This window comes from Homo sapiens, chromosome 17, assembly GCF_000001405.40.
Source record: "Homo sapiens chromosome 17, GRCh38.p14 Primary Assembly".
NCBI classification, from domain to species: domain Eukaryota; kingdom Metazoa; phylum Chordata; class Mammalia; order Primates; family Hominidae; genus Homo; species Homo sapiens.
Window position 1 is genome coordinate 35,542,809 of NC_000017.11, and position 24,395 is coordinate 35,567,203.

Consider the following 24,395-nt stretch of genomic DNA (forward strand, 5'->3'; position numbering starts at 1 on the left):
TAGATGAGAAAACTGAATCTTGAAGAGGTAAAGTAACTTGCTCAAGGTCATCCAGCCAATTAAGGAATAGAGTTGGAATTCAAGGCCAGAGTCAATCCGACCCCTGGACTCAAGCTCTTAACACTGCCTTATCGTACCTTACTGCTATACATAATTCAAAGACTGGTTGGGGGTTAAAAGATATATTTTAAAAACAATTTGCACCATGTCTACTACATACTAAGCACTTAATATATGTTTGTTGTAACTGTATATATCAGAGGAGACATCAATGGGACTGTAAAGGTATTTTGATGTATTAGCTGTTGACTGGTGGGGTCTGTCATATTTGGCTGGCTAGGAAGGAAGCACCTGCTTCCTTCATTGTTTCCCCCTCTACCACATGCCTCTTTCAAGCTGTACAACTGGGCAAAGACAGCCTTCCCTGATTAAAGCAGGGATAAGGGACTTTATCTGCAATTGGCCCAAGAGAACTCTGAAGTAGTAAACAATAACAAGAGGAAATACATTAAAAAATTAAAAGGTCCTGTTCATGGTCAGAGGCATCTTTTCTTTTCTCTTTGTACCTTATGTCAGTTTTAAGTGACCACAGATTTTTTTTAATACAGTGTCGAGGTTATATAATTCATGTTTCTACCCATAGTTCTCCAAGTTAAGATCTTCTCTGCAGCTCCAGGTTAGGGTGGTGAGCCTTAGTTTCACTCTCTGTGCTCCCTTGCAGCCCTTTTAGAGTCACCTGTTTCCAAGATATCATTGCCTCTTTTTTGTCATCAGAACCTGATATCAGCATTTTGTTCTCTTAGTTAATGCAACAAAATTTATACGTTATCAGATGCAGTGACTGGGGTTTTCTATTCACTTCCCATCAGAACTAATCTGAATAAAGTGATTCTTTCATCCAAGTCACCTTTTCATCCAGTAAGCCCATCTCCAGGCATTTATAAATATACCAGAAAAAGAAAAGGTTGTATGCCTGAGTATGTGCCTGGCTTAATTAAATTGGTGTAAAATTGCTAGTGACACGAATGACAGGGGAATGATCGCTGAAATTTCATATGATCTGGCTAGGATGCAGTGCACCCATTAAAAATGATTATATTGAAGACTGTGCTACCACATGAGGAAATGCCTGCATTAGTCAGCTAAAGCTACAAAACAAACAACCTTGAAATCTCAGTCATTAAATAATAAGCTTTTATTTCTCATTCATGCACTTTCAGATCAGCTGGATTTTGGCTAAGCTAGTTAGGACTGGTGGAACTTGGCTCCAGGCCATGAGTTGAGTTCAAGTTGGATTCACATATCTCAGTGGCTGGTGGGCCACCCAGGGTACATTCTTTGTATGGAAACAGCAGAAACCCGAGAGAGTAAACCCAATGCTGAAAGTCCATGTACAGCCTCTGTGCACATCAGAACTACTAACATTCCAAGTCACATGACCAAGGCCACATTACAGGGGTGGAAAATATCTCTACCTCTAATGTTAGTAACTACAAAGGGTATAGATATAGAGAGGTAGGAAATATTGGGAACAATAATGTAGTCTATAGCAATATCTCACAAAACAATTAAATGGAAAAAGCACACATATACGTTATAAAGTTGATGGCACAACTTGATCATAACTGTGTGAAAATATTTTTCCATATCAACAAAGAATAGAAATAAATAAGCAAAAATGAAAAAATGTTACACCCAGATAACAAGATGATTTAAGAACTTTTTTTTTTTTTTTTTGAGACAGAGTTTCACTCTTGTTGCCCAGGCTGAAGTGCAGTGGCGCAATCTCAGCTCACTGCAACCTCCACCTCCCAGGTTCAAGCAATTCTCCTGCCTCAGCCTCCCAAGTAGCTGGGATTACAGGCATGCGCCACCATGCCCAGCTAATTTTGTATTTTTAGTGGAGACAGGGTTTCTCCATGTTGGTCAGGCTGGTCTTGAACTCCTGACCTCAGGTGATTCACCCACCTCAGCCTCCCAAAGTGCTAGGATTACCAGCATGAGCCCCTGCGCCCAGCCTGATTTAAGAACTTTTAATTTTGCCTTTCTCCATTTCCGAAGCTTCCATGATAATATTATATTACCCTTCTTTTTAAAAGTAAGTTTTAGAAGCTTCTCACAGTTTCTAAAGCTTCTCTTTTATCTTAGTTATTTCATTTAGTTAATTGCTTTATCCATCATATTAAGACTTTGTAGAAAACATTGAGAATTCTAAAACAACCAAGTTAGTCCATTATTCTTAGTCCCCACCAGTTCCTAATCTTACATTTGAATCTAATGAACTATCATCATAGATCCTTAATTTGACCTGTTGCCTAAAAACAATTGAGTTGCCTTTATTGTTCCCTTATTCTTCATTATTACAGTGTTAAAGATTATTCTCCACACTGACTTCTTTGAAATCTCTAACATTAGAAATTCATACTATCGAATTGAATCATTGTAGATTCTAGTTTTCTAAAAGCTACAAGTACAATTCAGCAAATATTTACTGAGCACCTGCCCTGTGTGAGGCACTGTACTAGTTGCTCTAGGGGAAATAAGGATGTGTAAGTGACTCATCCTCTTACTCTCAAGGAGCTCACAGTCTTAATAGGAAGAGAAATGTGCACACATTTTTTGAGGACAGAAAGAACAGACTAGGAGAAGGGTTCAATGGTTCTCAACCCTTGTGACATATTAGAATCATTTGGATTTTTTTTAAGAGATAGAGTCTTGCTCTGTAACCCAGGCTGGAGTGCAGTGGAGTAATCATAGGTCACTGTAGCCTCAAACTCCTGGGCTCAAGTGATCCTCCCACCTTGGCCTCTGGAGTAGCTAGGATTAAAAGCATGCACCACCATGCCCAACTAAGTTTTTAAAAAAATTTTTTTTGTAGAGATGGGGTCTTGTTATGTTGCCCAGGCTGGTCTCCAACTCCTGGCTTCAAGTGATTCCCCCAGACCTCAGCCTCTCAAAGTTCTGGTATTACAGGCACCAGCCACTGCACCCTGCCTGGACAACATTTAATAAATACCGATGCCCGAGCCTGTGTTCAGACACACTGAGGTTAATTAGTCTGGTGTCTGGCCTGATCACTGATTTTTTTTAAGTCGCCCAGGAAATTATAATGAGCATCCAGGGTTGAGAATCACTGAGTTAGTTATTCTACTTTCATCCTGATTGAATTGTTTCACTAGACTAAGAACTGACAAAGACTCTCAAATTCAATATTTAAAACAATTCTTTACAAATCAATTCTTTTATTAAAAATTATATGATGCATGCATATATTTTAAAAAGTCAAATGGTACTAAGGCTTATGACTAAAATATAGCAATTCCTTGTCCCACTCATACTCCTTCATACTCTGTTGACTTTGACTGTTTAAATTATTTTTATAGAATTCATACATCTCCCTACATCAGAATGTCAATGCACTGGCATCTTTTGCAAAACCGATTGCTGAACTTCATTTCCTCCTATCCAAAACTACCCTAAAGCCCCCAAGGAAAGGTAAAAAGGAAGAAACACCAGGTAATTAGAGCAGTAGGAAGCAAGGGAGAGGTTTTTCTTTTCAACCCGTGCCTAGGTACAGACTAGCCCTTCTAATGGGCCTAAGCAATTCAGAAAGGCAGCTAAGAGAGCTTCTCGAAACCCTGCCTGCTCTTCCACCTCTTGGAAGGCTGAGGGGCTTTATCTAAAATCATAACCAAAATTTCCACATGTCTCCTGGATTCAAGCCTCCCCAGAGTCAATCAAGTTATCCTAAACTTTTCTAGAAGTTAAAAACAGTTTGGAAATATGAATACTTCCAAAGCAATTTAAAAATCCTTGCAAAAGCAAGAGTAATTTGAAGAGTACAGAATTGGCTCAGCCATTTGGGGAACTGACTAGAAAAGGGGAACTTTGATTTCATTTCTAATATGTATCATATACATTGGAAAGTTTCACTTAGGGAGATAATAAAAGTTTAATTGAGGTAGTAGGCATTTGAAAAAGGATGTGATTGCCAAGTAAGGATTTCAAAGGTGGAGGGGACAGAAAAGGGTTTAAAGACTGAGAAAATGGCACAGGCACAGACCAGGAGTCGGGGATGTGTGTGGGTGGTGTTGGTGGTAAAGTTGCCACCAAGGATCCCCATAAACTCTGAGAGTTGGATTTAAAAATTAGCACCAAGTCATAATGGAAGAAATCAGAGATGTGCAAAGGCCCCTTGTAGGAAGACTACTTTCCAGGCCAGCGGCAGAGTATAAGGCATTTCTAGCCTACATGAATGTATTCACATACATAGAGGATAAATGTAGGCAAAATTTGTATATGTTGGGGGCAGTAAGGAGAGGGTTGGTGGTGAACCTGGAAATTTTAGAAACCAAGACAGAGAAAAAAAAATTCATCTGAGGGCAAAGAATAATGAAAAACTAGTCATCCTTAGCATTCTAAATTTGCTTTAGCTTGTAAACTGTAAACTAATTTGTCTAGTCCTTGTGATAGAAATATCTTTATTTTAGAAATTATTGCAATCTTATTTTATATTAAGTTGGTGCAAAAGTAATTGTGGCTTTTGCACTTTTGCACCAACCTAATAGATATTGCAATAGTCTAATATAATCTGAAGATTTTTAAGATTTGAATCAAATTACCAGCTTCCCTTACTGTAAGGCTATGTTCATATAATTTGGCTTCCTATATTACTGTTGAGGGCACTGATTAGCAAAAGCATTTGACCCACTTATGACTATGGTCCTCACTATAAATTAACAGAGTAACATTTTGATGTATGCATTGGTCCTTTGTGAGCTTGATTAGCATAAAGCATCCCCAAGAGACTGATCTAGACTTGGTACAAAAAGGCAATCAAGTTCTGGACCTGGAAAGCTTGAGACCCATAGCCAGTATGAGGTGCCAGTCAATTGGCTACTTTTGAGACCTATGCAGTCAAAGTAACCAGCCTGGAGGGCACCATACCACCACCCAAAAATTATGCCAGGTGGGCTGGGGTGCATGAGAAACATGGGGAGATGGAGATACAATAAAGGATGTGGTTGGGAGAGCAAGTCAGGGCATATTAATGAAAGCCTTGAAAATTGGTTAGGTTTGAAGGCTGTGGGGACTCATTGAAGATATGTTAGCAAGGTATTACATAAAATCAGTTCTCTATTTGAGGAAAAATTCTCTGATGGATGACAGCTGGATTGAGTGGGAAAGCTGGAGACAGGGGACTAATGAAGTCTATTGTAATTGTATAGGTAGGAGGTGAAGGAAATTGTGAAAAGGCCAGTGGCATTGAAATAGAGTGGAAGGCTCAGCTCCAAGAGACATTTCTGTGGCTCCAGGCCATACTGATGTGCCTTGATTTCCTCACTTGTAATATTAAAATGGAGTCACTGCTACCTGTCTAGGAGAAAGGACTCTGCTCTTCCTGTCTTCCTCTATTATTTGTAATAATTTTCAGTAGGCTGCCCTCTTTTCATAAAGCAGGTAGAGGTGTTTAATGGCTCTTGAAGCAAAGCAGAGCTTATGAAATTCCTCTGACTGGTCACATTCTGGACTAAGCCCAAACACGACAGTCCTCTCCAGGCCTGAAAATTGCTGAATACTGTCTAAAACAATGTGACTTCCCCAAACACCGGTGGCCGGGCTAAACACAACCTCTGATGGTCTGTGGGTCTCAATTAATTCCATTGCTTTGAGTAGTGCAAGCCTATAGCGTCCTCTGTCCTCCCCTCTCCTGCACAGAATTGCTATATCTTTGGGCAGATAGCCACACTGGAACAGGCTGTGACATTTTCTTGCCACATAGTTAGCTATTTGTTCTGTTGTCAGATTAGTCTTTGTCTCACACACCCCAGGCAGAGCCTGGGCACACGTTGCTTCCTCATAGGCAGTCTCGCTGAACAATGCTAATGTGTCTGGAGACATGTTGGAGGGAGGATTTTCTTTGATCCTCTTCATTTCTTCTTTCATAACCTTCGCTATTTCCAGAGCACAGTGGATCCCACTGGTGATTGTTTTTCGAGGAAACTGAGCAGATGGAGGGGGAAGGCCATTGACATCTGCGTGATGGATTTGAAAAGGGTCAAGAAAAAGCCAGAGAATCCCATGGTGAAGGTTTTCACTTCCAGTCCCCTTCGCCTTTGGATGGGTGATGTTCTTAGCCTTCATGTACCAATTGCCATATTTGCTGCAGAAATTCTCAGTCTCATCCATCACTATGTGTTTAATCTTTAGAAACTCCCCTTGCATGAAAGTTTTCCTGGTCACAGCTTGGCAGGTGGTTTGTTGGCTGTAAGGACGGAAAAAACAGGGCTTGAGGCATATCAACAAAGAGAACACCAGCAGTCATTACTCTCTGGAATGGAATCAGAGGCTGATTCTCATCTGCAGGCTGAGTCATTGATTCAGTAGTGTGAATACCACAAAACTGTTCTAATTACAAGTTACCTGACAGACAGAATGCATAATTTTACACCTTGCTCTTTGGGGTTATCCAGTTAAACCTGCATGTGAAACTTCTGAAATGAACCCAGGTAACAGATTGTATTATGTCTATTAGTAATCCATTCCTACTGTTTGGCAATCCTGAAGACAAGTTCATTACATCTAAAGGAAATCTCAAAGTTAACTTACACTTCTTACTACCATTTCTTTACTTTCTATCCTCTTTAGAGCTGGAAAACAGTTTCCTCGATGCATATCATAATTTTTATGTGCAAAAAAAGCACGGACTAGTTCAAATTCCTCTAAAGCTTCTTTAGATTTTGGTAAGAGAAACATCAAGAGGATGCTGAGTTCCACGACACATCAAGTAGGGTACCAAATCTATGGGGCTATGCCTCTTTGGAGCTACCTCATTTACTTAGCTCAATTTTCCTTTATAGTACGCTTTAGCATATATGTATTTTTTCTGAACGAATTTGGTTGTTTTTTGCCTCCTTTAATTTGGATCCAAGTAACATCACTCATCCCTACAGATTCCATGATTTTACATATGCAGTTCCTAGGGCCTTTACTCCCTATGCCTTGAATCATAACTATGTTCTTCTCTTCTGGTTTGGACTGTGTGGACTCAAATAAAAGTACTGATTCTTAGCCATCTTTGTATCCCTCTCACATTAAGGGTTTCATAGATATTTGTTGAGTTAGCCTTTTGACTGGAGTATTTTCAAACTTAGCTATGAAACTTAATAAAGAACGTAGTCCTCAGCACAGTCTACAGGATCCCTGATAATCTGGCGTCTACCTCCTTTTCAACATCACCACCTGCTGTATACCCACAGTCTGCACAGCTCTAGTCAGACCTACCATTCTGGTTCTCTGGTGTCTCCATGTCTTTGAACTTGCTGTGCCCTTTGCCTGGAAAGCCCTCCCCTATTTGATTCACTTCTCCTGCTGACTTCTTAACAGTGTGCCCAATGGTCTCCTTCACTGGGGAATATTTACCAACCAACCTCTAGCCTGTTAAAATGGGCATGAGGCCAGGTGCAGTGGCTCACGCCTGTAATCCCAGCACTTTGCGAGAAGGAGGTGGGCGGATCACCTGAGGTCAGGAGTTCAAGACCAGCCTGGCCAACATGGTGAAACCCCGTCTCTACTAAAAATACAAAAATTAGCTAGGCGTGGTGATGCACACTTGTAATCCCAGCTACTCGGGAGGCTGAGGCAAGAGAATCACTTGAACCCAGGAGACAGAGTTTGCAGTGAGCTGAGATCGTGCCACTGCACTCCAGCCTGGTTGACACAGCAAGACTCCGTCTCAAAAATAAATTAATTAATTAGTTAATTAAAATGAGCATGTCTTTATTATTATACAATACTCACATTGTTTTTTTTATGGCAAGGTCTTCAATATGTTTTCTCCTCTAACACTAAATGTAGCACAGTAGATACCACATCAACAGTGCTCAAAAAGATTTATTGAATAACAAAACCAAGCCAAAAATCATAATGATTTTGCCCTCTTTTGCTGAATTCTATAATGACCAATTCATTTTACTAAATTAAAAGTTAGAGATTTAAATCAGAAGTGAATTTGCATATTTTCTAAAATTACTGATGCAGAACAAGTCAAAAATGAAAATATTTTATGAACAAAATCAAACTGTATTTAAATTCAAGTTTCACTAGGTACAATGTCTAATTAGCAGAAATACCCTATGACTTTAAAACATTACATATCAAACAGAAAGTATACTTAAAGCAGAATGGGTTCATTTCTACTTCTCTTAAATGTAAGGCCATGGATTGTGAGAAAAAAAAAAGTTTCTGGTTCTGTAAATGTAAGTTATGCACATGTGGGTTATTTATAATGAGATGTTTAAGGTTGAACATTATAAATTACCTGTTTACAGCTCAATTCCATGATTATTTGGAAATGTGTATATAGTTTGGGCTCTTGCACTTATGCAACTAAGGCACTGCAAAAACTTAAACTAAAAACACAAATCACTTTTGTGACACTCTTGAAAAGACTGACTAAATATATTTTTGTGTGTGTGTGCAACCAACTCCCAGCACATCAGGTGGGTAACTCTTCCCACACGAATAGTCTGCCTACCCTCAGGAATATTTTTTGTCTGTGGTACCTCAGCCTATCGTTGTTTGAATGGCTCTTCAGAATCTATATGCTTCCTCTCATTCTTAGCGCCCCCTATGACCATCTACACTGAACAAGATTTATACAATCATGTCGTACCTAAGCCCCGCAACAAAAGGGTACCCATTCTTCCTTTTGTTATCGGAGCAGGAGTGCTAGGTGGAGTAGGTACTGGCACTGGCGGTATCACAACCTCTATTCAGTTCTACTACAAACTATCTCAAGAACTAAATGGTGACATGGAACGGGTCTCTGACTCCCTGGTCACCTTGCAAGATCAACTTAACTCCCTAGCAGCAGTAGTCGTTCAAAATAGAAGAGCTTTAGACTTGCTAGCCGCCGAAAGAGGGGGAACCTGTTTATTTTTAGGGGAAGAATGCTGTTATTATGTTAATCAATCCGGAATCGTCACCAAAAAGTTAAAGAAATTCGAGATCGAATACAACGTAGAGCAGAGGAGCTTCAAAACACTGGCCCCTGGGGCCTCCTCAGCCAATGGATGCCCCGGATTCTCCCCTTCTTAGGACCTCTAGCAGCTATAATATTGTTACTCCTCTTTGGACCCTGTATCTTTAACCTCCTTGTTAATTGGACCCTGTATCTTTAACCTCCTTGTTAAGTTTGTCTCTTCCAGAATCGAAGCTGCAAAGCTACAAATGGTTCTTCAAATGGAGCCCCAGATGCAATCCATGAGTAAAATCTACCACGGACCCCTGGACCGGCCTGCTAGCCCATGCTCCAATGTTAATGACATCAAAGGCACCCCTCCCGAGGAAATCTCAACTGCAGAACCCCTACTACGCCCCAATTCAGCAGGAAGCAGTTAGAGCGGTGGTCGGCCAACTTCCCCAATAGCACTTGGGTTTTCCTGTTGAGGGGGGCACTGAGAGACAGGACTAGCTGGATTTCCTAGGCTGACTAAAAATCCCTAAGCCTAGCTGGGAAGGTGACCACTTCCACCTTTAAACATGGGGCTTGCAACTTAGCTCACACCCGACCAATCAGATAAGAAAGAGAGCTCACTAAAATGCTAATTAGGCAAAAACAAGAGGTAAAGAAATAGCCAATCATCTATTGCCTGAGAGCACAGCAGGAGGGACAATGATCGGGATATAAACCCAGGCATTCAAGCTGGCAACGGCTACCCTCTTTGGGTCCCCTCCCTTTGTATGGGAGCTCTGTTTTCACTCTATTAAATCTTGCAACTGCAAAAAGAATATATATATATGTGTATATATATACACATATATATACATATATATATACACATATATATACACATATATATACACATATATATATACACATACATATTTTTGTGTGTGTGTAGTTGGTAAAACTCTTACGTCACAAAATCCTTTAGGGAGTCGCTTTCACAAACATAGAGGATCTCTTTTGGTTTGCAGTGAAACAAGTCCTTAATTTTCTCCATGATCTTTATGGCTAGGGCTGTCTTCCTGACTCCTGGAAAGCAGTAGATGAATAATTCACGTGTCTTCTGAAGACTCTCAGAAAGCAACTGGCTCTGCTCCATTATGAGCAAGTTGAAAAATTCACAGCCCATCTGGTCACTCAGAAGAGATCTGGAGGACAGGGAGACCACCACCAGAGCCTGCAGCAAGTCTTCCATTTCCTCCTCATCAGCAAGCCTGTAGGACCTGGGGTAACGCAGGGGGATCTCACCAGGTCTACTCTGTGTGCTGCTCAGGTGTATCAGCCTTGGAATGATGCACACTTTCCCTGTGTAACCACCAACAGTTTGCAGTTTCTGCTTTAACTGATGAGCTGTGTTTCGGGCATATTCAAGTCCTCCAGGCCAATTGGGGTCTATTAAGATTGTATAGAGTACCACGGGGCTGTTAACTGCTATCAGGAGAGCATCACACAGGACATTCTGTTCTTTCCTGAAGCCAACATCACCAGCCCAGCTTCTAGAAAATATCACAATCCCCTGAGAACAAGGATGTATCAGGGTCTTCATTAAACCCTCCAGTTCTTTATGATCTGAGAACAGCTTCTTACAGAGGGATTCTGGTTTAAATTGTACCTCTTCCTGTGTCACTGAAAATTCAAGGAATAGATGTTACCAAAACTTACAAAAGCATGTGGTAAGTATTCCTGCAACGTTGCAGAAAAAAATGATACCTGGTGCATTTGGGAAAATAAGAGCTTTCCTTTAGAATTGTGATTCTTAATCAGGAGCAGTTTTACTCCCCAACTCTCCCCCATCCCCACGGACATTTGGCAATGTCTGGAAAATTTTTTCTTTTTTTGTGAGACGGAGTCTCGCTGTCACCCAGACTGGAGTGCAGTGGTGTGATCTTGGCTCACTGCAGCCTCTGCCTCCCTGGTTCCAGTGATTCTTCTGCCTCAGCCTCTGGAGTAGCTGAGATTACAGTCACATGCCACCACACCTGGCTAATTTTTGTATTTTTAGTAGAGACAGCGTTTCACCATGTTGGCTAGGCTGGTCTCAAACTCCTGACCTCAGTTGAGGTCACCCGCCTTGGCCTCCCAAAGTGCTGGGATTACAGGCATGAGCCACCATGCCCGGCCTGAGAATTTTTTATTGTCACAATTGGAGGGGAGCTACTGGTATGTAGTAGGTACCAGATAGGAATGCTGCTAAGTATTCTACAATTCACAGGGCTCTCCCTCCCCCAGCAAAGAGTTATCTGACTCAAATGACAATAGTGCTAAGGTTGAGAAACCCTGCTTTAGAAGAAGTTCAGATAACCCAATGGCTCCTTCTGCATTGGAAAGCTAGGGGCAGTTTTTTGATGGTTGAGACCTGAGAAATTCCCTGCACTCTCAAATTTGGAAAACAAAAGCCATATGTTATGAGAAGTTGGAAGGCACACAGAAATAGTAATAGTGGGAATCAGATGACTGGAAACAAGGGTCAGATATATAGATATATAAATATTATATATAATTATATATAATAATTATATAATAAATTAATAATAAATATTAATAATTATTTTAAATAAGTATATATATGACCCTTGTTTTCAGTCATATATATATTATATATATAATATATATATTTCAAATTTCAGGATCATTATGTCGCTAAGTCCTTCATTTGACCTTCCCTAAGGAGAAACACCTGAACTCATTACTACTAACACCTCCCAACTCAATTTTAGAAAACAAATAGTCCCCTAAGTTGAAATCAAGAGGGAATACCTGGAAACAAATGTCGTTGCAGAGCCTCCTTAAATTTGTGGACTTTTATGGGATATCCGGGACTTTTTCGTGCAGATGAAGCTGATGAAATCAGGCAAGAGTTGTAGTCTGTGACCAAACTGGGAGGAGCTAGACAATTACATGGAAAGTTGTTTCAGACAAAAAATAAAAAGTTAAAAAAAAAAAAAAAAAAGCCTCTTTTTTTGGCTCTTCTTACTGGAGACCTGTGATGTGCATGGGTGCCTGAGCAGTCGTACTTACTATGCGTCAGACAGCTCACGTATGTCAGGAAAGGAAGTCTGGGGATTCCTACAGGGGACATATCACACATATTCTAAGTCACTGTGTGACTCGGCTTGAGCAAGTCATTTCACCTCTCTCTCACGCTGGAGTGAAGTAATAATCCCTAAGCTTCCTTTCAATTATAATATTCTGACTCCAGGTTATCTCTAAGAAGAAAAGGCATCTAGTGGGGATCAGCAAGGATTAAAGCACAGTATTTTAAAAATGGTGTTGGCCAGATGTGATGGCTCACACCTGTAATCCCAGCACTTTGGGAGGCCGAGGCAGGCGGATCACGAGGTCAGGAGATCAAGACCATCCTGGCTAACACGGTGAAACCCCGTCTCTACTAAAAACAAAAAAAATTAGCCAGGCATGGTGGCCGGCGCCTGTAGTCCCACCTATTCGGGAGGCTGAGGCAGGAGAATGGGGTGAACCCAGGAGACGGAGCTTGCAGTGAGCCGAGATAGCGCCACTGCACTCCAGCCTGGGTGACAGAGCGAGACTCCGTCTCAAAAAAAAAAAAAAATACAAAAAAATACAAAAATTAGCTGGGCGTGGTGGTGTGCCTGTAATCCCAGCTGCTCGGGAGGCTGAGGTGGGAGAATTGCTTGAACCTGGGAGGCGGAGGCTGCAGTGAGCTGAGATCGTGCCGCTGCACTCCAGCCTAGGCGACAAAGCAAGACCCTGTCTCAAAAAAAAAAAAAAATGTTGTTACAGTTGTTTATGTCCCCATCTAAGGTTAGATGGAATCAAAAGTGGCAGGATCTTTAGGGGAGAGGAGAAGAGAAGTGAACTCAAACAAATTAAGAGAAAGAATGACCCAATAAAATTCTCCAATCACTCAAGTTTTGATGAAATCTGGAACATACTGGCCGTGAAGGCAAGCAGATAGGCGTAGTTCGGCCTATAGTCCTTTATGGATTGATTAGGAATCACCAAGGCTGATTCCAATCAAAACTGAAAGGTAAGTGAGAACACCAGGGGTCCTGCTCCCCCCAGCACCCCCTTGCCCTAGCATCTCCTTTTGCATCATTTTCCCCCACTTGGTGGTGCCCTAAGCCCAGTGGCTTAAGGTTATTAGCTCCTAATGTTACTGAAACAATTCAAATTTGTCAACAATGTTTTGCTTGAAAGAATTAGTGGAGTAGTGGAGTCATTTATTTTTATTTTTTTATTTTTATTTATTTATTTTTTTGAGACGGGGTCTCGCTCTGTTGCTTAGGCTGGAGTGCAGTGGAGTGATCTTGGCTGACTACAACCTCCACCTCCCAGGCTCAAGCAATCCTCCCACCTCAGCCTCCCATGTAGCTGGGACTACAGGCATACACCACCACGCCTGGCTAATTTTTATATTTGGGGGAGAGATAGGGCTTCGCTATTTTGGCCAGGCTGGTCTCAAACTCCTGGGCTTAGGCAATCTGCCCACCTTGGCCTCCCAAAGTGCTAGGACTGCGCCCAGCCTCAGAGTTATTCTTAAACAGTGTTTCTCTAGAATATCATCTCTAAAATGAGGCTATTCCAATTTTGACTGGGATGATCAGCCTGCACAATTTTTTCAACAGGTTTATAGACAATAAAAGGAGACCTTTCCTAACTCATTGCTGATGGCATACTGTAACTTTCCTTTAAAAGTTGCTTAGGCTGGCCAGGAGTGGTGGCTCACACCTGTAATCCCAGCAGTTTGGGAGGTGGAGGTGAGTTGATCACTTGAGGTTAGAAGTTCAAGACCAGCCTGGGCAACATGGCAAAACCCCATCTCTATTAAAAATACAAAAATTAGCCGACATGGTGGTGTGTGCCTGTAATCCCAGCTACTTGGGAGGCTGAAGCACGAGAATCACTTGCACCTGGGAGGTGGAGTTTGCAGTGAGCCGAGGTCACACCACTGCACTCCAGCCTGGGTGACAGAGTCTAAAGAAAAAAAAGTTGTTTAGGCCATAGAATCCAAACATTTCTTGACCTCAGTTTATATTCTGAGTCTTTGGAACTAAAAATGTTAGATAAGGAACACTGTAATGGGAGAACACTTATAAGAAAAATAAATTTCTATTTTTTAACTAACATATGTGATCAAATACCCACAAAAGGCAGAGAAAGGGGTTCCTCCCTGCTGATGGGGACAATGACTTCACTTCCCTTTACCTGACTGAGTATCCAGCATCATGACCACCCACTGCTCAGCTGTCAGCCGTGTGACAGAATTGTCTTTCATGATCCAGGAATCTGGGGCCTCTGCAAACACCACGCAACAGAAGGGCTCCACTTGAATCACACAGACATAACCATCCAGGACATCTTTTTGGTACACATTCAGGATTTTTGTAGTGAAATTTACCTTTGGCTTCTCACAGCAGAAGTGGAATGTAGGCAATTTTTCTATGCAGTTTTCGATTTCTTTTTTTAGTAAGTCAGGATTCACTTTTTCCCACTTACATCCAACCACTTCTTTGCTCTTATCATCCACCCCAATGAGGACATATCCCCCTTGAGTGTTGGCAAATGCAGAAACATAATGAGGCAGCATTTCCTTAATCCGAGGTATGACTTTTTTGGTGGTGAACCTTTTAAATTCAACATGTGTTGACTCAGTAAAGTTGAGTTTCTCCTTATACATGAGTTTGTCCTTTTTAAAAAATTCTGAGGCCAATATCCTCATATCTTCCTCTTCCTGAATGCATCTATTGAGAACCTGCTGAGGATGCAACTTCTTCACCCTTGGTCTTCCTCTTTGGGCTCTAAACCCCTTCTCTCTGAGAAGCTCCAGGGCACTGCTAGCACTCAAGTTGATAGCAGAAGTCACATCTCTCCGATACAAATTGGAGCGCAAGCTGCAAATCCTTAGTGGAAGGCTGAAAACATCTGGGCTCCATGACTTCACAAAAATCAGGAGATTGTGCCCCTGCTGCATGTAGTCAAGGTATTTCTGTGAACCTGAAGGAAGGAGCTTTTGAAAAGAAGTTTCCAAATCCTGTCCCAGCCCATGGCATTGGTAACTATAGGTTTTATCATCAATCTCTGCTTTGATCACACCACCTCCAGAATTTAACAGTGCACATATAGCCCGGATAATTCTAGAATTCTCAGATCTTTTCAAACAGCTGTTGGTCATCTTCTTCCTGTTTTCTTCTCCAAAAATCACTCTGCCCACATCTACTATTACCTCAGGATACGGCATTTCAGTATCAGTCTTGAGACTCTCCATTTCAGCAGCCCCTCTGTGCTCCAAACAATAAAAGAAAGGAGTTCCTATAATCAGGACAGAAATATTGTTTCTATATTAATAAGAATTCCAAAGATTACAATATTTTCTTCAAAACTATCAATTACTGGAGATATATTTTAATGTTGGAAGTCATCTCTCTCTATATGTATATTTGTTGTTGTTGTTTGTTTTGGGTTTTTTAGTTTTGTTTGTTTGTTTTTGAGATAGAATCTTGCTCTGTTATGCAGGTTGGAGTGCAGTGGCACAATAATAGTTCTCTGCAACCTCAACCTCCCAGTTCAAGTGATTCTCCAACTTCAGTCTCCCTAGTAGATGAGACTACAGACACGTGCCACCAAGCCTGGCTAATTTTTTTTTTCTTTTTTGTTCTTGCTATTTTTTTTTTTTAAGAGATGGAGTCTTGCTACGTTGCAATCCTCCTGCCTGGGCCTCCCTCCCAAAGTGCTGGGATTACAGATGTGAGCCACCGCACCCAACTGGAAATTATCTTTGATACTGCTGTTTTCTAATCACTTTGCCAAATATCCTTAGCCTTGCCAGAATAAGTAGGCATGGATAAAGGTGAATGCCTAATATTTGTCATAATGGAAAAATTAAATTGCTAACATTTTCAGCCATTTTGCATTTCAAATCAGGAAACGCCAACACTGAGCCCAGATATAAAGGGCATGGGTTGGCACAGGAGCCCAGGAAGGTATTGGAGAATATGCAGAAATAGAAGTTGAAGTGAGAAGATGCTCTTATTTATAATTCAAAAGGGGAAGAAAGGAAGGCACTAGAGAACTAAGGAAGTATAATTTTACAGTATATGTACTGTAGAAGATCTTGCTATAAACACAAACATAGGCTGGGTGTGGTAGCTCACATGTGTAATCTCAGCACTTTGGGAGGTGGATGTGAGAGGATTGCTTTCGATCAGGAGTTGAGACCAGCGTGGACAACATAGCAAGACCCCATCTCGACAAAAGATAAAAAAAAAAAAAATGTTAAACATTAGGCAGGTATGGTGGTGCGCACCTGCAGTCCCAGCTACCTAGGAGGCTGAGGTGGGAGGATCTCTTGAGCCCAGGAGTTTGAGGCTGCAGTGAACCATGATCGCACCACTGCACTCCAGCCTGGGCAGCAGAGTGGGAACCTGTCTAAAAAAATAAAAATAAAAGTAAATAAATAAAATTCTATATTTTTATGTATTATTTCATACACTTTGAAAAGCTTTATTTTACTCCTGAAAGAATGTCAGTTGATACCAAATGCAGAAACCTTTTCAACTCTTCACATGTTCTAAATCTCAAAAGTACATTGCCTCATATACAGTGTGATGTGACAGCAGCATTTTCCTTCCCTTCTAATAGTTCTGCCCTGTGCTGTGGAAACCCCTAAGACTTGGAAAAGAACATGAGCTTTTGGGGCATGGTAACTAAACCATTGTCACCCTTCTTTTGCTTCCTAGACCAGAAAACAGCCACCTAAACTGAAATTTGAGCTCTGAAACAAATATTTCAGAAAAGATCTGCTTACCTTTAGTCAATTGCAAAACAAAATATTTGCTAACTCAACCAAAATTCTTCCTCTAGGAGAAGAGAACCCATCTTTCTGTGTGATCTTTGCAAAGCAGGGGCCCTGTGGGCATTGTATATACTCACCAAGAGGAAGAAAGCAGGCATCCGGCAAGACATGTGCACTCCCCTGATATCAATTTGTTCTTGGTTGCCTTCTCACTTCCTTCAGGAAAACCAGAATCAACCTGGGGAATTCTTTTTAGAATGTGAGCCTCTTCTATAGGTACATGTAAATGTAGTATTTTATGGCTCCTTAGGGAAATTTCCCATAACATTCTATTTATATCATAGAATCACAGAAGTGTTGGAAAGGACTTTAAAGATCCTCCAGTCCAACAATCTATAGGATTCTAAAATCTCCTCTATAATATTGCCAACTCCCAACAAGTTGCAAACCTCCAGCAATGAGCAACTCACTACCTATCAAATAGTCCCTCTAGTCCCTTCTAATTTCTGACGTCTGTGTTAGAAATGGTCTCCTTACTTTAAGCTGCAATTTGTCTCCCCATAACTTCCACTGATGGGACCCACAAAACAAATCTAATTGATTTTGAATAGCAAACCCTATGGTCTCGTGACTCGTAAGTCTCATCAATGTTATTTGAATGCTGATAACAATTATGATAAATACAACATTTACTGAGATTCTAGCTCGAGATGAATATCCTTTCCACATTTCCCAGGACTTTTTTTTCTTTTTTTGAGACAGAGTTTTGCTCTGTGCCCAGGCTGGAGTGCAGTGGCACGATCTCTTGGCTCATGGCAACCTCCGTCCCCCAGGTTCAAGTGACTCTCCTGCCTCAGCCTCCAGAGTAGCTGGGACTGCAGGCAAGAGCCACCACTCTCGATACATTTTTGTATTTTTAGTAGAGATGGGGTTTCACCATGTTGGCCAGGCTGGTCTCGAACTGTTGACCTCAGGTGATCCACCTACCTGAGCCTCCCAAAGTGCTGGGATTATAGGGACGGGCCACCACGCCAGGCCTTCCCAGAATTTTTTATTCATTTTCCTTTACAAATTTTCCCTAAATACTATTTTACTAATCCCTCATGCCCTCAGATGTAGACTGCACCTAAAATTAGATAAATGAGATATTTTTAAGAATTTTTTTTTTTTTTTTTACCTATGCTCCTGTGTTTCCTCTTGCTGCTTCAGTTTCACATCTGGCTGTAGTCTGAATGTTTGCTTCTGTCACAGCCCCTTTTGCCCTTTGATATTAGCCTGGGAGGAGCAGACTTCCCACTTCTTCATAACACTGACATACTGAGGAAGGCCGATAAGGACTCATGAAGAGCCTGTGACAGGGCAGATTAGCAGGCCAGGGTCTGACCTCAGGGAGTGAATGAGGTCGTAATGAGAAAATGCAGGGGTGAATGGAAAAAGTTAAACTTAGCACTTCTAAGAGACTGAGCTTCATTTCCACATATCATACATGTACCTTCAGCGCTGGAAAATTGTGTGTGCAAAGCTCTGTTTTTATTTTAAATTAGGCTTCCTGTACATATTCATTGTGGGCAATATTAACCTATTTCATTACCTCCTAAATGGCTTGTTCTTTTCTATTTATTTTTATTCTTTTTCCTACTTTTCATCTTTGTTAAACACAAGACCCAGCCTAGAAAAATCCTCATAGATTAGGAGCTGGCAATCCCTGGGTAGGAGGATTAAAGGTAATTTTTTAATTAATTTATTTTTCTTCCCTTTATTATCTTTAACTGATCTGTATTTTTAATGGTTTACAATGAGTATAAATTGTTTTTCATAATTAAAAAACAAATGGTAAAAACCAACAGATGGGCTGGGTGTGGTGGCTCATGCCTATAATCCCAGCACTTTGGGAGGCCTAGGTGGGTGGATCATCTGAGGTCAGGAGTTCGAGACCAGCCTGACCAATATGGTGAAACCCTGTCTCTACTAAAAATACAAAAATTAGCCTGGTGTGGTGGTGTGTGCCTGTAATCCCAACTACTGGGGAGGCTGAGACAGGAGAATTGCTTGAACCTGGGAGGCAGAGGTTGCAGTAAGCCGAGATCATGCCATTCCATTCTAGCCTGGGCAACAGAGGGAGACTCCATCTCAAAAAAAAAAAAAAAAAAAAAAAAAAAAAAAGAAAGAAAGAAAGAAAGAAAGAAAAAGAAAACCCAACAGATGCTGGGGGCAGTGGCTCATGCCTGTAATCCCAGCATTTTGGGAGGCTGAGGCAGGCAGATCACCTGAGGTCAGGAGTTCAAGACCAGCCTGGCCAACATGGTGAAAACCCCGTCTCTACTAGAAATACAAAAATTAGCTGGGCATGGTGGTGGACACCTGTCATCCCAGCTCCTGGGGAGGCTGGGACAGGAGAATTGCTTGAACCTGGGAGGCAAAGGTTGCAGTGAGCCGAGATCATGCCACTGCATTCCAGCCTGGGTGACAAAGTGAGACTCCATCTCAAAAAAAAAAAAAAAAACAGATACCGGGCGCAGTGGCTCATGCCTGTAATCCCAGCATTTTGGGAGGCCGAGGCCGGTGGATCACGGGGTCAGGAGTTCAAGACTAGCCTGGCCAACATGGTGAAACCCCGTCTCTACTAAAAATACAAAAATTAGCCAGGCATGATGGCAGACACCTGTAATACCAGCTACTCAGGTGGCTGAGGTAGGAGAATCACTTGAATCTGGGAGGTGGAGGTTGCAGTGAGCCGAGATTGCGCCACTGCACTCCAGCCTCCAGCCTGGGAGACAAAGCGAGACTCCATCTCAAAAAAAGAAAAAACAACCAACAGATGGGAGGCAGTGAGTTATCTTATTTGAGGATGGTGGCTAAACTGGGTCAAGCTTTGATACACACAAAAGGGGAGGAGGCAATGTGATCACAGAAGCAGAGATGGAGTGATGCAGCTATAAGCAAAGGAATGCCAGCAGCTACCAGAAGCTGGAAGAGTCTCCCCTGGAGCTTCTGGAGACAGCAGGTCCATGGCAACACTTTTTTTTTTTTTTTTTTTGACAGAGTCTTGCTCTGTTGCTTAGGCTGGAGTGCAGTGGTGCGATCTCGGCTTACTGCAACCTCTGCCTCCCAGGTTCAAGCAATTCTCCCACCTCAGCCTCCAGCATAGCTAGGATTACAGGTGCGCACCACCATGCCTGGCTAATTTACATATTTTTAATAGAGGTGGGGTTTCGCCATGTTGGCCAGGATGGTCTCGAACCCCTGACCTCATGTGATCTGCCTGCCTCAGTCTCCCAAAGTGCTGGGATTACAGGCGTGAGCCACCGTGCCCAGCCCATGCCAACACTTTGACTTCAACTCAGTGAAACTGATGTTGAACTTCTAGCTGTAAAAAAAATAAAAAATTTAAAAAAAAAACGCAAAAACAAAAATAACCAAATGAATGGAGCTGGAGGCCATTATCCTTAGCAAACTAATACAGGAACAGAAAACTAAATACTGCATGTTCTCACTTATAAGTGGAAGCTCAATGATGAGAACACATGGACACAAAGAGGGGAACAACAGACACTGGGACCCACCTGAGGTGGGAGGAGGGAGAGGAGCAGAAGAAATAACTATTGTGTAGCAGGCTTAATACCTGGGTAATGAAATGATCTATACAACAAACCCCCGTGACATGAGTTTACCCATATAATAAACCTGCACATGTACTTCTGAACCTAAAATAAGTTTTCATAAAAGAATATGTTTCTGGGCCGGGTGCAGTGACTCACGCCTGTAATCCCAGCAGTTTGGGAGGCCGAGGGGGGCGGATCACGAGGTCAGGAGATCGAGACCATGCTGGCTAACGCAGTGAAACCCTGTCTCTACTAAAAATACAAAAAATTAGCCAGGCGTAGTGGCGGGCGCCTGTAGTCCCAGCTACTCGGGAGTCTGAGGCAGGAGAATGGCGTAAACCCGGGAGGCAGAGCTTGCAGTGAGCCGAGCCGAGATTGCACTACTGCACTCCAGCCTGGGTGACAGAGTGAGACTCCATCTCAAAAAAAAAAAAAAAAAAGTTTCTGTTGTTTTAAGCCACCAAATTTGTGGTGATTTGTTGCAGCAGCCACAGAATACTAATACACCTCTCTCCCTCTAAATCAAACCAGCAAAGTACTCTGTATCTCTACTTCAATTCGTTTATGATGAAACGACATTCTTAAATAAGTCTCTGGACATCCCTATTTTTGTCGTTGTTGTTAGCTGACGCCACTGCCCAACGAAGTTCTGCTCTGCTGGCATCACTCTTTGTACATGTTTGGCTTAAAAGGAGTTTCCAGGAAAGGAGGCAGAATGGGTACTATGATATATAATTCACACAGCAACATAATAAGCTCCAAAGGCCTGCTCTCAGCTTTAACTCATTTTTCATTCGTGTCACTTCTGAATCCAGTCTCACTTTTAGTTCTCCTGTCTACCTTAATTCTCGGCCTCACTTTCATATTGAAATCCCTCTGATATTACTTATGTTTCAAAGGCTAAAAATGACCACCATTTACTAAAAATGTGCTTACCAGATGCAAGGGACCATGCTGGGAGCACTACACATCACACAAAAACTGAGACTATACGGCCAGAGAGTGGAAGAGTGACGATCCCAAACTAGGTCTGTCTAATTCAAAGACTTGTACTCTTTCACTCTTTCAAGTTTGGGATTCTGGATTGCTTGAAAGCCCTCAAAATCAGAAGTCTAAGTACCTCCCCATTTTCTTCCCAATCAAGAGGAATAACATCATTTGGTCAGGAGAACTAGAAACTAGATTGCTGTTTTCTTCTTCTTCTTCTACAGGGTAGTACTGGGAATCAAATCAAGAGAAGCGGGGAATAACGTGGAAAATGAGCAATGAGAACTTCTTTTCCTTCTTCAAAGCGTTTTAGTCAAGTCCCTTGGATATGAATAGTTAGGTTGTCAGGCCAGGGAGGACTTCACATCTTGGCTTTGATAGCTCCCAAGCAAATGTTCCTGATACAAAACAACTTGAAATCAGTAACTTAGATTATGCTTTTTCCTGTCTCAGGAAAATTCATCTGGCCATGCTATTGATGATTGCTAAGAACAAGAACCCCGAATTTATTTTAGATGTGTTTATTCACTAAGCATTTCTGTTTATCCACAGTTGTACTTATGTTCACCAGACGCAAGCCTGCATGTTCACCAGACATAAACTGTCAAATAGCAACTAAAGGGGAAAAGTTGGTCTCTTTACCCCCAGATGCCTCCATCTCACCCCCAATTCTTTCATAGAGATGATCCAAAGAGTGTAAATAGAATAGTGACCAAGGGCTCCATTATGCCACTACCTGACTCCGTGTAAGTTTCCTCACTTTCATTCATTCTTTCATTCGATCAGCTATTTTGGGGATCCTAAGGTGTTCAGATCTCAGCTCTGCCACATTCTAGCTATGAAAACTTTGTTAAACTAACCTAAGCCTCCAATTTCTTCTGTGTAAACTGGAGATAATAACAGAGCCTCCTCCACAGAGTATTTGCCAGAATGAAGTGAAATGATACACATAAAGAGTAAATGTGTGTTAACATGTGCTCTTTGCCGCATATGGTGCCCGGCATGTAATGCCATTTTCATTCAATAATCAATTGTCGGCTAAGCGCAGTGGCTCACGCCTGTAATCCCACCACTTTGGGAGGCCAAGGCAGGCGGATCACTTGAGGTCAGGAGTTCAAGACCAGCCTAACCAACATGGCGAAACCTCATCTCTATTAAAAATACAAACATTAGCTGGGCATGGTGGCATGCGCCTGTAATCCCAGCTACTTGGGAGGCTGAGGCATGAGAATCACTTGAACCCAGGAGGCAGAGGTTGCAGTGAGCCGAGATCGCACCACTGCATTCTAGCCTGGGTGACAGAGCGAGACTCTGTCTCAAATAATAATAATGATAATCAATTGTTGAGCGCTTACAATGTTTTAAACATGGTGCTACAATCTGGGGCTACCCATCAAAATAAAAGCTCTTATTTAGTAACTGCCTTCCTTGAGCCAAATATGCAACTTTCCTTCTCAAATATAATCCTCAGAATAACTTGCAAGAAGTGTTATTTTCACATTACATAAATGAAAAAAACTGAGTTCATTGAGGTAAAGCACAAAGTTACACATCTAGCAAGTGGCAGAGCTGAGAGCTGAACACTGACCTATCTGAATCCAAAGCCCAGTTACTCTCATCCTGCCAGAAAGCCTTACTATTAGCTGGAAGAATAAGACACACGTCCCTGCTGGGCTCGGTGGCTCACGACTGTAATCCCAGCACTTTCGGAGGCCAAGGTGGGTGGGTGGATCACTTGAGGTCAAGAGTTCGAGACCAGCCTGGCCAACATGGCGAAACCCCATCTCTACTAAAAATAAAAGAATCAGCCGGGTGTGGTAGTGCATGCCTGTAATCCCACCTATTTGGGAGGCTGAGCCAGGAGAATTGCTTGAGCCCAGGAGGCAGGGGTTGCAGTGAGCTGAGATCATTCACAATCTAAAGAGGGAAAACATGTACTAAACAACTCATAACAATACAACATACACAATAACATCAACTGAGCACTCTATGTATTAGGCATTGTTGTCATTGATCTTGTAACAGTTCTATTAGGTAGATGCTATTATTAGCCTCCTTTTTACAAATAGTGATACTGAAGAACAAAGAATTCAAGTTACTTGCCAAAATAGTCCACATACATGACCACTACGCTCTAGTACCACTCTAAAGAGTTTGCAATGTATGAGCAGTGTTCTCTAGGTGTTCTGAGGAGTGACAATAACTATGAGTGAGCATCAGAAAAGATTTCCTAGATGAGATGATTTGTGAGCTGGAACCTGTAAGTAAGAAAGCAACAGGTTTCCCCCTCTCTTCCTTTCTCCGCCATCGTGGTATGTGCTTGACTCTGCTTCTTGCCATGTCTTCTCACAAGACGTTTAGGATTAAGCAATTCCTGGCCAAGAAACAAAAGCAAAATCGTCCCATTCCCCAGTGGATTCAGATAAAAATTGGTAATAAAATCAGGTACAACTCCAAAAGGAGACATTGGAGAAGAACCAAGCTGGGTCTATAAGGAATTGCACATGAGATGGCACACGTATTTATGATGTCTGAAGGTCACAATCACATTATCATATCAACCTGAAAATGTCACCACTATCTGGAGAGTTGGACATGTTTTATTGGGGACATATTTTTTCTCTCTGAATCTGTTATGAACGCTTTGGTTGGCTGAGTTCAGTAATAAATATGTGAGACCTTTCATTTCAAAAAAAAAAAAGAAAGCAAGCAAGCAACAGGTTGAGAGAAAGGGAGATGGATGGGAGAAAGATAAACCAGGTAGAGGAAATAGCACGCGCAAAGGCACATTGTCTTCACTGTCTAATCTCTCCAATCCTTAACGAACGAAAGAGGCCTTGAGTGGGTCTGGTACAGAAGACTCTCCATTTTACTTCTTCATGTCCTTTTACCCATTCCTGTCTAACATTCATCACAATCCTCATTCGCCTTTCATATGCCACTCCTCTATTTCCACTGCCAATCTAATTTAAGCTCCTATTAGCTCTCACCTGGACCATTGCAATAGCTTTCCCTCCTTTCGCTC

General features: G+C 41.7%; 1 protein-coding gene, 1 long non-coding RNA gene and 1 pseudogene across 6 annotated transcripts; 2 read left to right on the forward strand and 1 right to left on the reverse strand.

The window, feature by feature from the left end:
• On the reverse strand, positions 1,177–18,011 carry SLFN14 (schlafen family member 14). Of its 4 annotated transcripts, none has more exons than NM_001129820.2 (6): positions 17,959–18,011; positions 16,919–16,997; positions 14,195–15,298; positions 11,768–11,896; positions 9,922–10,636; positions 1,177–6,265 (listed from the first exon to the last, which is right to left on the reverse strand). In NM_001129820.2, exons 3-6 carry the CDS (start codon positions 15,252–15,254, stop codon positions 5,431–5,433), a joined length of 2,739 nt encoding a protein of 912 aa, NP_001123292.1. In that variant the 5' UTR covers positions 15,255–15,298; positions 16,919–16,997; positions 17,959–18,011; the 3' UTR covers positions 1,177–5,430. The 4 variants fall into 4 exon arrangements, with proteins under 4 accessions (NP_001123292.1, XP_016880066.1, XP_016880067.1 ...); XM_017024577.2 differs by having other exon boundaries at positions 16,919–17,051; XM_017024578.2 differs by lacking the exon at positions 16,919–16,997.
• LOC107985033 (uncharacterized) lies at positions 10,397–12,741 on the forward strand. 2 transcript variants are annotated; one of them, NR_138031.1, is made up of 2 exons: positions 10,397–10,683; positions 11,638–12,741. It is a non-coding gene; the product is annotated as an uncharacterized LOC107985033 (long non-coding RNA). The 2 variants fall into 2 exon arrangements; NR_138032.1 differs by having other exon boundaries at positions 11,790–12,741.
• On the forward strand, positions 23,656–24,061 carry RPL39P32 (ribosomal protein L39 pseudogene 32; annotated as a pseudogene).

Coding starts and splice junctions, on each gene's coding strand:
- SLFN14 (XM_017024578.2), bottom strand. CDS start 15,254: ATGGAGAGTCTCAAGACTGATACTGAAATGCCGTATCCTGAGGTAATA. Junction 11,897..14,194: donor GATGCTGGATACTCAGTCAG/GTAAAGGGAAGT, acceptor GTAATTGTCTAG/CTCCTCCCAGTTTGGTCACA. Junction 10,637..11,767: donor GCAACGACATTTGTTTCCAG/GTATTCCCTCTT, acceptor TTGAATTTTCAG/TGACACAGGAAGAGGTACAA.